Genomic DNA, 11,995 nt, shown 5'->3' on the forward strand with positions numbered 1-11,995 from the left:
GGTGCTAAAAATGCCGGGGATGCGCAGGCGCACTGGGAGAGGCCGCAGGGCACGCTGGGCAGTGCTTCTGGGCCCTCTGCTGCTCCTGCTTGTCGGTTGCTAGGCGCTGGGACGCGCCTCCCGAAGGGTGCGGGGCACAGGTGGCCTCTTCGGGGTGGACCGCGCCTGGCCGGGGCCGAGGACACCGCGGCCGCCCGGGCCTGCGGGAAGCGATGGAGCCCGGGAAGGTCGGTGCGGCGCTGGGTCTGGGCGAGGGGTGGTCGAGCTTCGCGGACTCCTTCGGGCGCCGCTAGCAGCGCCGCCGCCGCCCTCCCTTTGCGCAGCGGTTCTCTCGGCCGGGCCGGGGCTTCCCGGAGGAGCCGCGGTGCCTCCGAGGCAGGAAGGGAAACGGAGGCGCGGCTGGCCGTCGGCGCGAGGGATGGCAGGACGCCGGGCTCCCGGCGGTCGGGAGAGGCGGTCTGTGCAGCCTCAGGCCTGGGGTCGCCGCCGCGGCCCGTCTCCTCGCGCCCGGCCTGGAGGCGGCCTCGGCCCCTGCTGCGGGGCCGGGGTGGCTGAGGAGACATATTTAAAAGTTTATTAAATTTTAGCTGACTTAAGTTTAAATATGACTTGTCACAGTTTAAGAGGTTGAGAGAGTGCAGCCTGGGTGCTTGAGTTTGAATTCAGGATTTTGTATTTACTTGTATGACCTTGGCAAACTCACTTAACATGTCTTGTTTCCTAATTCATTCAATGGGCACAATAATAATAGCAACATTATAGGGTGTTTAAGAAGGTTAAGTGAGATATTATGTGTAAAAGTGCATAGACCAGTGCCTGCTTTCATTAACACTCAATAAATGTTAGATATTACTGTATTATTCTTATCTATTGATTCCCCACTGAAAGATGAGGAATTTAATTTGCATACATTTTCTTCTACCTTCACTCCTATTATTTTTTCCCCATCACTTACCTTTATGTGTTGAATAATACTCCTTAATTTGTATTTTATGTTATATAAACCTTAGGTTTTTGTTTTTTTTTTTTTTTTGAGATGGAGTCTCACTCTGTCACCAGGCTGGAATGCAATGGCACGAACTTGGCTTACTGCAACCTCCGACTCCAGGGTTCAAGAGATTCTCCTGCCTCAGTCTCCCGAGTAGGTGGGATTACAGATGTCCGCCACCAAGCCCAGCTGATTTTTGTATTTTTAGTAGAGATGAGGTTTCACCGTGTTGGCCAGGATGGTCTTGATCTCCTGACTTCGTGAGCCACTGCACCCGGCCTTTTTTTTTTTTTTTTTTTAAAGATAATTCCCCTTGTCGCCCAGGCTGGAGTACAGTGGCACGATCTCTACTCACCGCAACCTCCAACTCCTGGGTTCCAGCGATTCTCCTGCCTCAGCCTCCCGAGTAGCTGGGATTACAGGCAGGTGCCACTATGCCTGGCTAATTTTTGTATTTTTAGTAGGGATGGGGTTTCTCCATGTTGGTCAGGCTGGTCTCGAACTCCTGACCTCCGGTGATCCGCCCGCCTTGGCCTCCCAAAGTGCTGGGATTACAGGCGTGAGCCACCGCGCTAGGCCAACCTTAGATAGTATTTTTTAACTTTCCCCTAGTTAAGATTAAGAAGCTACTGCCCTGCACTCCCCATTTCTCCCTAAACCCACTAATTTCCTGACCCTGTCATCTTCTATGCTATTCTCTTTACATTTCTTTAAGTTACTCTGTAACTTACATTGTCCGTGATTTGTTTATAGGTTGATTTTAAAAATGAAAACCAATAAACACTATAACATCATGGTTATATACGTTTTCATTGCAGAACCAAATAGTCAGATTGGACCAATAGATACAATGGAGTCCTGTATTCTAAGCTCACTCTACTCAGGGAACAATGTTTCTGGTGTCAGGGTCAAAGGGGTCATCTTTTGTTACATTCAGTTAATGTACCACAATGAAGTTTGCTTATCATTTGGACCATGTCTTTCATAAATGGCCCTATTTGCCCTGTTTTTTTAGTTTTGGCAAAAAAGAACATAAGCTGTTTTAAATTTTTAAACCTTATGATGTCTTCTAGCTTATTAGTGTCATATTACCTGTTTAATGAAATTCTCTTAAATTCTTCCCAGAGCTCACTGACTTTATGTTCTCATCAGGACAAATTGTTTTCTAGACATGCACAGAGCTATGATCTGGGAATTCTTTCTCATTGTGCTTCTGGGTTAGGCCTACTGTTTCTTGGATCAAGTGTCTCCCTCTTTTTTGAAATCTCCATGCTTTTTCCAGTGGAGTATCCCCTCCCCCCACTTTCCTCTCCCCTCCCCCCTCCCCTTTCCCCTCCCTTCCTCTCCCCTCCCCTTTCCCCTGCCCTCCCCTTTCCCCTCCCTTCTCCTCCTCTCCCCTCCCCTCTCCCCTCCCCCCTCCCCTTTCCTTTCCTCCCCTCCCCTCCCCTTTCCTCCCCTCCCCTTTCCTCCCCTCCCCCCCTTTCCTTTCCTCTCCTTTCCTTTCTTCAGAGTCTTGCTCTTTCACCCAAGTTGGAGTGCAGTGACACGCTCACAGCTCACTGCAGCCTAAACCTCCCAGGCTCAAGCAACGCTCTTGCCTTGGCTTCCCAAAGTGCTGGGACTACAGGTGCGAGCTACCATGCCTGGCCTGTCGCATACCTTTTTAGACAAGAGTATATGTGGGAAGAAAACTGTATGCCCTAAGAATATCCTTATTATACTGATAGATTGTTTAAGAGTTTGGCTTAGCATAGAATTCTAGGAGCAAAATAATTTCCCAGAACTTTGAAGATGGTTTACTTTTGTCTTCTAGCAGTGTGTTTGGCTGATGAGATATCTTTGTGAGTAACATTTTCTTTCTCTCCAGAAGATTTAGGATCTTTATCTGTGATGTTTTGAATATGGATGTAGTTTGTTATAGATCTTTTTTCATTCGTTATTTTTGACATTTGACTGTCCCTTGGGGTTTTATTCTGATACATATTTAATACATAAAATTCATTTTTTTTGAGACAGAGTCTCGCTCTGTCGCCCAGGCTGGAGTGCAATGGCGTGATCTCAGCTCACTGCAACCGCCACCTCCCAGGTTAAAGCGGTCCTCCTGTCTCAGGCTCCTGAGTAGCTGGGATTACAGATGTGTGTCATCACGCCCAGCTAATTTTTGTATTTTTAGCAGAGACGGGATTTCATCGTGTTGTCCAGGCTGGTCTTGATCCGCCCACCTCGGCCTCCCAAAGTGCTGGGATTATAGGCATGAGCCACTGTGCCAGGCCAGTAAATAAACATTTTTAAAGTAGCAAAAGCAACAGATCTCAGAGCTGGATATTTCCTGGCAACTAATGAATTCCTGTAACAGGTTCTCAATTGCAAGTCGGTCTTTAACTTTTTAGGAAGTTAACCCATGGGTCATTAGAATCTAATTATGTAACTATTAGGCTGTGATATAGAATTAATTAGTATAGTCTATTTCATAAGGTAAGGGGAAGGATAAAGTTTTCATGAGATTACTGGAATAAAATTGTATTGGATTATTTTGGTATTAGAGTTTTTTTTTTTTTTTGGAGACGAAGTCTCACTCTTGTCCCCTAGGCTGGAGTGCAGTGGTATGATCTCAGCTCACTCCATTCTCTGCCTCCCGGGTTCAAGCAGTTCTCCTGCCTCAGCCTCGCAAGTAGCTGAGATTACAGGCATGCACCACTATGCTGGGCTAATTTTTTTTATATTTTTAGTAGAGACACGGTTTCACCATGTTGGCCAGGCTGGTCTGGAACTCCTGACCTCAGGTGATTCACCAGCCTCAGTCTCCCAAAGTGCTGGGATTACAGGCGTGAGCCATCTCACCCCGCTGGTATTATAGCTTTTAGTATACACCAAGCATTTCTTTCAGTTTGTTTCATTGTACTTAGTTGCTCACATAATTAATCTGATGAATATAAATAGTTTTATGTTCTTTATTTGTACTGAGATCATACCAAGTTTCAGTATGTCGTAGCTATTGGAAAAAACTTAATGGTACCTTTGCAGGCTTTACACCTGCCTGCATGGTGACAATTTTCTTTAATATTAGCTCTTTCAAAACTCTTTAATTTATCTTGTTTACAATGTGTATGACTATTAATTTTTATGGTCAATGAAAATTTTAGAAATTTCTAAGTTTTTTTGTTACATACCAAACAATTGATAGGTAATGTGTGAGTTTATTGTTATGAAATTTATTAATCATAGCTTGAAAAATGTAGACATGTTTTTTAGGTTATTCTTAGTTTAAAATAAATTTCTACCCTTTTTATTTTCATGTGAGATATGTACTAGTGATGTGAACTGTTTAGGTACAGTGCAATGCCGTTTCATTCTGTTTTTAGAAAGGCTGAATGTTTTAGAGTAGCTACAGTGGGGTCTCCAAGGTTGGTCCTCACCAATCCGCTTGTGGGGTTCCTCCAGAGAACTGCAGAAACTCTGGCATGAACTCTCCATTCAAAGCCCTGTGCTGATTCTTGACGAAAGTTTAACACTGCTCCTCGCGGTGTAAGGCCACCTCTGGGACAACCCAGCTCAGTGTTGTCTGAAAGAGCTCAGGGCTGTCAGAATAATTTACTGTTTGTTTTAGCCAACACCTGGGGATAGGTCCCTGACATCCTTTCTGAAGAGAGTTTAAAAGGGCTTAAATTATGAATCCTTCTCTGTCCTTTTGAGATGTCTCTAAATCTGCAATTCAGGAGTGTCTTTGAAAAGATATCAGAAAGGACAGGATGGCCTCTGTTCTGGTCTCTCTGGGAAGGTAGAATCCTAACTACTGTAATTATCAGCTAGCAGACACAGCGAGCTTAATCTCACACTGACCAGCCTTTGTAATTTTTCACTTGAGCTCCCCTAGCCCGGGTTCTCCCCTAAAACACTCCCTCACCTCAGTGCAAACAGAAATGGAGCTCAGCTGTTTCCCGTCCCGCCTGCAGTTACTGAATGAAATCTATTTCACCACTCGAAAGTCTGGCATCCCCCTCCCCACACTTCTCATCTGTCAGCCAAGTCTAGAAAGGAATCAGCCTGAGGTCAGCTCTGTCTACAAAATAGACTCAGCGCAGCAGCATTTTAGGCATCTGCCGCTTTGACGTAGCTTTGACGTAGCAGCTCACAGATAGGACTCTCATCTGCAAATACATGCATACCGAAAACACAGGTGCTCCCTGCAGCCACGTTTGTCACATGGAGTACAGAGTGTTAGAAGCAGCCTGTGTGGTCACCAGCCAGGGCCTAGGTGAGTGAATTACGGTGACTGTAGGGAATAACCTTGGATTCAGTGATGGAAACTGATCATCCTAGTTTTCTTCGTTACCGTTTTCTTCAGAGCACTTTTCCTACCAGGGAGCGTCAGTTACACAGTCAAGTAATAGAATGAAGACCTGGATAGGCTGCATTTCATAATTTGGCCCTAAGTAATTTGATAACTTAAAAATTCTAGTGTAAGGAATTTTGGAAAAAAAATGAGGACAGCAAAGGATAAATTATGTCCCAGTCCTAAAGGCGGGAGCCAGCCTTGCCCTCTGGGTCTCTTAGCGTGCGCCCTAGTTTGGTGTGTTGCCATGCAGGGTTAGTGAAGCACACCACTCTGGCCGTTAGTGCTCCTGCTCATTCCACTCTGTAATTCTGAGAATTAATGTTGGTGTCGTCAACCTAAAGAAAATCCAGGCAAAATTAATTATAGAGACTATCAGGGCCACAGCCTGGGAAACACTGGGAGGCGCTCCAGAGAACAAAGGAGAGGCTTGAGTGTTTAAAGAGAAAAGGACGAATCAGGGGACGATTACAAAATACTTTGTCAAGTACTGGTTTACAGAAATAACATTGATTATTGATTGGTTATACATCACTGAACTGCAGGTTACGAATTCTGGTGTCCAGTGTATGACATTGGTAGGTTAATTTATGGCTATTGGCCAGGTGTGGTGGCTCATGCTTGTAATCCTGGCACTTTGGGAGGGAGGATTGTTTGAGGATGGGAGTTCGAGGCCAGCCTGGGCAACATAGCAAGACCCTATCTCTTAAAAAAAAAAAAAAAAAAAAGCCTGGGCATGGTGGTGCATTTCTGTAGCCCCAGCTACTCAGGAGGCTGAGGTGGGAGGATTTCTTGAGCACAGGAGGTCAAGGCTGTAGTGAGCTATGATAGCACTGTGTCCGGAGTTGGTTCCTTCTGGTGGGTTCTTGGTCTCGCTGACTTCAAGAATGAAGCCACAGACCCTCGCGGCGAGTGTTACAATTCTTAAAGATGGTGTGTCCGGAGTTTGTTCCTTCACATGTTCAGATGTGTCTGGAGTTTCTTCCTTCTGGTGGGTTTGTGGTCTTGCTGACTTCAGGAGTGAAGCGACAGACCTTCGCAGTGAGCGTTACAGCTCTTAAAGATGGCGCATCTGGAGTTGTTTGTTCCTCCCGGTGGGTTCATGGTCTCGCTGACTTCAGGAGTGAAGCCCCAGACCTTTGCAGTGAGTGTTACAGCTCATAAAGGTAGCGTGGACCCAAAGAGTGAGCAGCAGCAAGATTTATTGTGAAGAACAAAGCACAAAGCTTCCACAGTGTGGAAGGGGACCCAAGCAGGTTGCCACTGCTGGCTGGGGGTGGGGGGAGGGGGGCCAGCTTTTATTCCCTTATTTGGCCCTGCCCACATCGTGGTGCGTTTACAAACCTTTAGCTAGACACAGAGTGCTGATTAGTGCATTTTTACAGAGTGCCGATTGGTGCGTTTACAAACCTTTAGCTAGACGCAGAGCGCTGATTGGTCCGTTTTTACAGAGTGCTGATTGGTGCGTTTACAAACCTTCAGCAAGACAGAGTCCTGATTGGTGTGTTTACAGTCCTTTAGCTGGACAGAAAAGTTCTCCAAGTCCCCACCCACCCAGAAGCCCAGGAGGCTTCACCTCTGGGCACCACTGAACTCTAGCCTGGGTGACAGAATGAGACTCTTTAAATAATAATAATATGGCTGTTGGTGGTGATGCTGAGTCAAGAGGTCATAAAGCAGGCTGCTTACTTAGCTCTGGGTGTGGGAGGAGCGGGACTTCCTTAGCTCCAGGTGTGTGTGAGGGGGGCGGTGAGCCGGACGTCCTTAGCTCCGGGTGTGTTTGGGGGGGGCGGTGAGCGGGACGTCCTTAGCTGGGGGGGGGTGTGGGGAGAGCGGGACGTCCTTAGCTCCTGGTGTGTGTGGGGGGGGCGGTGAGCGGGACGTCCTTAGCTCCGGGTGTGTGGGGGGAAGGGGGACGTCCTTAGCTCCCGGTGTGGGGGCGGGGGGGAGCGGGACGTCCTTAGCTCTGGGTGTTTGGTGGGGAGCCGGACGTCCTTAGCTCCGGGTGTTGGAGGGTGTTGGAGGGGGGAGCGGGACGTCCTTAGCTCCGTGTGTGGGGGTGGGGAGCGGGACGTCCTTAGCTCCGTGTGTGGGGGTGGGGAGCGGGACGTCCTTAGCTCCTGGTGTTGCGGGGAGCAGGACGTCCTTAGCTGCGGATGTGGGGGAGAGCGGGACGTCCTTAGCTCTGGGTGTGGCGGGGTGGGGAGCGGGAAGTCCTTAGCTCCCGGTGTGTGTGTGTGGTGTGGGGGGAGAGGGACGTCCTTAGCTCCGGGTGTGGGGGGGGGAGCAGACGTTCTTAGCTCTGGGTGTGGCGGGGAATGAGACGTGACCACTGTCACATTTCAGTGGCTCTGGGCCTAAACATTTAAAGGAGCTCACATTCCTCAGATTAGTTTCTTTTCTTTCTCAGTGTCATGCAGGGAACAGGATGACGATGTGGACGTCAGCGCTATACCACTGGGTCCATGTAGATGAATGTCACAGGGTTGGGCCGCGGTGTCTCTGTCATGTGGGGACTCAGGCTGGAGAGTGCCTTTGCTGCTTTGCACAGAGCTAGTGGTCATCCTGAAGGTCCAGAATGGATTTATGGCAGTGTCCCTGGAAGGAAGAGTGGATTTAGAAACATGTTATAAGCAGAAATAGTAGTATCTGGTGACGCTTTCCTCTGTTTATTTTTTAATAGAGATGGGGTTTCGCTGTGTTGCCTGGGCTGGAGTGCAGTGGCAGTTATCACAGCTCACTGCAGCCTCGACCTCCTGGGCTCAAGTGAGCCTCCTGTCTTAGCCTCCTGAGTAGCTGGGACTGCGGTTGAATCACCATGCTTGGCTGATTTTTTTTTTTGATGGAGATGGGGTCTTGCTGTGTTGCCCTGGCTGGTCTTGAACTCCTGGGCTCAAGTAATCTTCCTACCTCAGCCTAGCAAAGTGTTAGGATTACAGGTGTGAGCCACCATGCCTGGCTCAAAATAACTTCTTTTAAACATTTCTTAATGTTCAATTAACTAGTTCAAATCAGTATTTAACTTTAACCTCTGATGAGTGTTTTCTAAAAGAGGAGGCTGGGTTAGAAAGCAAGGGGAGAAGCCCACTGCCCACAGGTGGCTGCAGATGCCAGTGGCACCTTCTCGCTGGAGTCTGCCCAGCTGTCGGAGGTTATGTGGCAGGAACAATGAGCGTCAGGTCCAGGGGCTTCTGCTGTTTGGCTTACAGAGCGCGGAAGCCCTCACACCCACTCGTAGTGGGGGTCGGACAAGATGGCACAGGGGTGGGGTTTGCTTTCCATCTGGGCTGTGAGTGTCCTCCCTGAAGTGAGGTTTTGGCTTCACCACCTCTGATGGTGCACCTTGGAGGTGATACCACCTTGGAAGTGATTTCAGCCCAGGTTTACTTCTCCTTGGATTTCAGGATGAGATGAGAGTGGGGAAAAGAATTCCCTTGAAGCCCTGCATTGAGGGGAAGGGGAGTTAAATCAGTTTCATCTGTTTTATTCGGGAGGCAAATCAAAGGGATGTAAACATTGTTCAGGGTTCTTACTGTACAGTTCTCAATAGAATTTTGTTATGAAAAGGTTCTAGATGATTTAGTTGATGTAAATCGAGCATAAATCGAGGGACAGAGGCCCTGGGGAGCTGGTGCTGGGCAGCCGCTCATCTCCTGTTTGCTTGCCATGTGCATGAAGGATGCTGGCCCAGGACAGGTGCTTGCAGATGCTGAAGACCGCAGGCTCCAGTTCTCATCCACTAGTGCGTGGGCTGAATCATGCTGATGGTTTTGCTGCTTAGCTCTCCTGAGTCTCCTCACCCCAGTCCCCAGGCTGGGGTTTGTTCCACTCCTGGGAGTGCTGGGGAACTTTGCCCTTTGGTTCCATACTTGGAGAGTTGATTTTAAGCGTGGATTGCTGGGCTGCTCCATAGGGCAGAGTCTGAGGGCAGGTCAAGTTGGTCTTTAAAAGGCCTTGGCAGAAGCATGTGGTTTACATGTGGCAAGTGGGGACCGACAGCACCGGGGCAGGGAAGTCGTAAATCACTGTTGAACAGTTTGAAACTCTAGAGGGAGACAGCATGGATAGAAAACTTGAGGGTAAACAGTCCATATTAGCTGAGTTTTAAGCGCTCCAAAGTAGTCAGTATTCTGTGCATTTAAGAAAATGGCTGTTACTTTTCATACTGAAAAGTAGAGAGGCCGAAGAAAAATCCTGTGATCTCTGTCAGAGACCTCTTGTCTTCAGGGTTTTTAACTTTGTCAGTATCAGTAATGTTAACCATTAAGAAACCCCACTGGATGGGTTTTGTGACATACTTACTTTTCACATTCTGAGCTAGTGGCCTTGTGCCTTCCCAGTGTCCCCTGAATGTCCTCAGCGTCCCCTGTGTGCAGCGCCCACGTCTCCTGGTTGAACTGTCCCCTAATGTTCTAGGTGTCCCCTCTCTGTGGTGCCCATGTCTCCTGGTTGGACTGTCCATTGGTGTCCTGGGCATCCCTTCTTTGTGGTGCCCATGTCTCCTGGTTGGACTGTCCCTGAGTGTCCTGGGTGTCCCCTCTCTGTGGTGCCCACGTTTCCTGGTTGGACTGCCCCTTGGTGTCCTGGGCGTCCCCTCTCTGTGGTACCCTGGTCTCCTGGGTCTCCTGGTTGGACTGTCCCCGAGTATCCTGGGCGTCCCCTCTCTGGTCACTCGTGTCCTGGGTTCCATTCAGCCCTTTTTTTATAGCAGGTCCTATATTAAACCTCTCTGTAGGAGTTAACTTTAAACAAATAGTTGGCCGGGCGTGGTGGCTCACAACTGCAATTCCAGCACTTTGGGAGGCCGAGGTGGGGGGCTCACCTGAGGTTGGGAGTTCGAGACCAGCCTGACCAACATGGGGTAACCCCATCTCTACTAAAATTACGAAACTTAGCCGGGCGTGGTGGCGGGCGCCTGTAATCCCAGCTACTCAGGAGGCTGAGCCACGAGAATTGCTTGAACCTAGGAAGTGGAGGTTGCAGTGAGCTGAGATCGCACCACTGCACTCCAGCCTGGGCGACAGAGCAAGGCTCCGTCTCAAAAAAAAAAAAAATTGTTTAATATATTTATGAGGTATTACAGCTTTTTTTGTTTGCCCTAATTTTCACATTCCAGGAAGAGTTTTAGTGGCTTGTCCATGAAAAGTTTCCATTTTTCATTTGGACTAAATCTGTTTTTTTTTTTTTTTTTTGAAACAAACCCCCAAATGCTTCCTTTATTTATACCTTTAAGGAAGTGTTTCTCAAAGGGAAAAATTGAATAATTATGGTATATTCTCTGCAGGAAATCATCCTTGATTGAGTTTGCTTAGCTGAGGTTAGGTTTATCATTAAGCTCTGTTGTACCAGGGTTGTGGGGTTGTAGGGTTGTGGGGTTGTACCCTGTGTTGTTGGAGTGTGTTACTATGGCGTGGTGATACGCGGTTAGGTTAAGCATGAAGCTCTGTTGTACCGGGGTTGTAGGGCTGTACCCTGTGTTGTTGGAGTGTGTTACTGTGGCATGGTGATAAGCACCTGCGTGTTCTGCACTGAGGTTCTGCTGAGGCCTCAGTGCAGCTGTGGAGCAGGAGCGGCACAGAAGAAGGAGCTGTGGCTGCACTGGCAAAGCTCATGCTCCCCTCGGGGAGACCAGCGCGGATCTTGTAGGAATCACTATCGCGAGGGTTGCCAGGAGGCAGTGGTGCAGTGTGACAGGAGGCGCTCCAGGTGGCGGCGAGGGTGCAGAAGGGGAGTCCCAACCTTGCCTTAGAGCACAGTCAACCTTTACTGTCCTCATGGTTCCTGTAGGTTAGGGTTTGGGGGTGGCGTGGGGGGACGTTAGGGTGCAGTCCTCACGCTCTCTGAAGGTTGCGTTGGGCTGAGGGGCCCTTCTGACGTGTGGGCTGGTGCCGGCCTCTCCTGGGCCTCCCCGGGAGTGCTTGGGCATCCTTGTGCTATGGCGTCTCCCAGGGTGCGCGGTGAGAGCAAGCGGGCACCACAGCCAGGTGGAAGCTCTGGAAGGGACCCTGAGCAGGAAGGCGCACAGCTGGGCCTCCACCCCGTCCTCCTCATCAGAAGTGTGGCAGGGCGGGCGGCTTGAGCTGAGGAGTTTGGGCAACATGGCGGAACTCCATCTCTACAAAATACAAATATTAGCCAGGTGTCATCCCAGCTACTCAGGAGGCTGAGGTGGGAGGATGACTTGAGCCGAGGTTGCGCCACTGCACTCCAGCCTGGGTGACAGAACCAGACCCTGTCAAAAAAACAAAAAGACGATGATGAAGAAGAGTGTGACATAGAATCTGGCCCACGTTCGAGGAAGGGGAATCAGCTTGACTTGTAAAGGAAGGGTTGTTGAAGAGTCAGTGGAAATGGTTTAAGACCACGGCACCTTGTTATTTTAATAGTCCCCTCAGATGCTTAGAACAGTTGGATACCTGGTGAGCTGGCTGTCCGGATGCCGCCTTTCCCGGCACGCACAGTGTGGATTCTCTAATGGCTGGTGGTCGTGAGGCGCTGCGACATGCTAAGCAGTGCTGGGTGACACAGAGGACTAAGATAGGCCTTCCTTTCCGGAAGGTGAGGGCTTAGCTGGAGAGATGTCATCACACTTGAAAGGTGGATTATCCAACGAGGAACAAACACTTTCGCAGTAGAAACAACAAACATCAGAGGAGCTGGACGGTGTTTTTGGG

At 49.0% G+C, this 11,995-nt stretch overlaps 1 protein-coding gene across 24 annotated transcripts in view, besides 3 other annotated features; it reads left to right on the forward strand.

Annotated features, from left to right (window-relative positions):
* DYNC2I1 (dynein 2 intermediate chain 1) overlaps positions 1 to 11,995 on the forward strand; it is a 119,454-nt gene that overhangs the window by 17,279 nt on the left and 90,180 nt on the right. For 11 of the 24 annotated variants that reach the window (XR_007060058.1, XR_007060061.1, XR_007060060.1 and 8 more), the window contains exon 1: positions 1,048 to 1,141. The exons of 2 other annotated variants lie outside the window; for them this stretch is intronic. Coding sequence is in view for 5 of the 22 variants with exons in the window: in XM_006716041.3 (XP_006716104.1) it covers positions 213 to 227 (15 nt within the window). In the remaining 17 variants the exon portion in view is untranslated. Of the gene's footprint in view, positions 1 to 34; positions 228 to 1,041; positions 1,142 to 6,877; positions 7,053 to 11,995 lie in introns of those variants that run through there. 11 more of the 24 variants (XM_006716041.3, NM_001350918.2, NM_001350917.2 and 8 more) reach the window with 4 other exon arrangements.
* Positions 91 to 560: a silencer, noted in NCBI's record as "silent region_18874". NCBI's record gives its function as "represses an Ori minimal core promoter by ATAC-STARR-seq in GM12878 lymphoblastoid cells {active_cell/tissue: GM12878}" and the evidence as "EXISTENCE:reporter gene assay evidence [ECO:0000049][PMID:35858748]".
* Positions 911 to 1,452: an enhancer, noted in NCBI's record as "H3K4me1 hESC enhancer chr7:158650125-158650666 (GRCh37/hg19 assembly coordinates)". NCBI's record gives its function as "activates a minimal SCP1, AML or CMV promoter by ChIP-STARR-seq in naive H9 embryonic stem cells {active_cell/tissue: H9 hESC(naive)}" and the evidence as "EXISTENCE:reporter gene assay evidence [ECO:0000049][PMID:30033119]".
* Positions 5,037 to 5,536: an enhancer, noted in NCBI's record as "H3K4me1 hESC enhancer chr7:158654251-158654750 (GRCh37/hg19 assembly coordinates)". NCBI's record gives its function as "activates a minimal SCP1, AML or CMV promoter by ChIP-STARR-seq in naive H9 embryonic stem cells {active_cell/tissue: H9 hESC(naive)}" and the evidence as "EXISTENCE:reporter gene assay evidence [ECO:0000049][PMID:30033119]".

This window comes from Homo sapiens, chromosome 7 (genome assembly GCF_000001405.40).
Source record: "Homo sapiens chromosome 7, GRCh38.p14 Primary Assembly".
NCBI classification, from domain to species: Eukaryota; Metazoa; Chordata; class Mammalia; order Primates; family Hominidae; genus Homo; species Homo sapiens.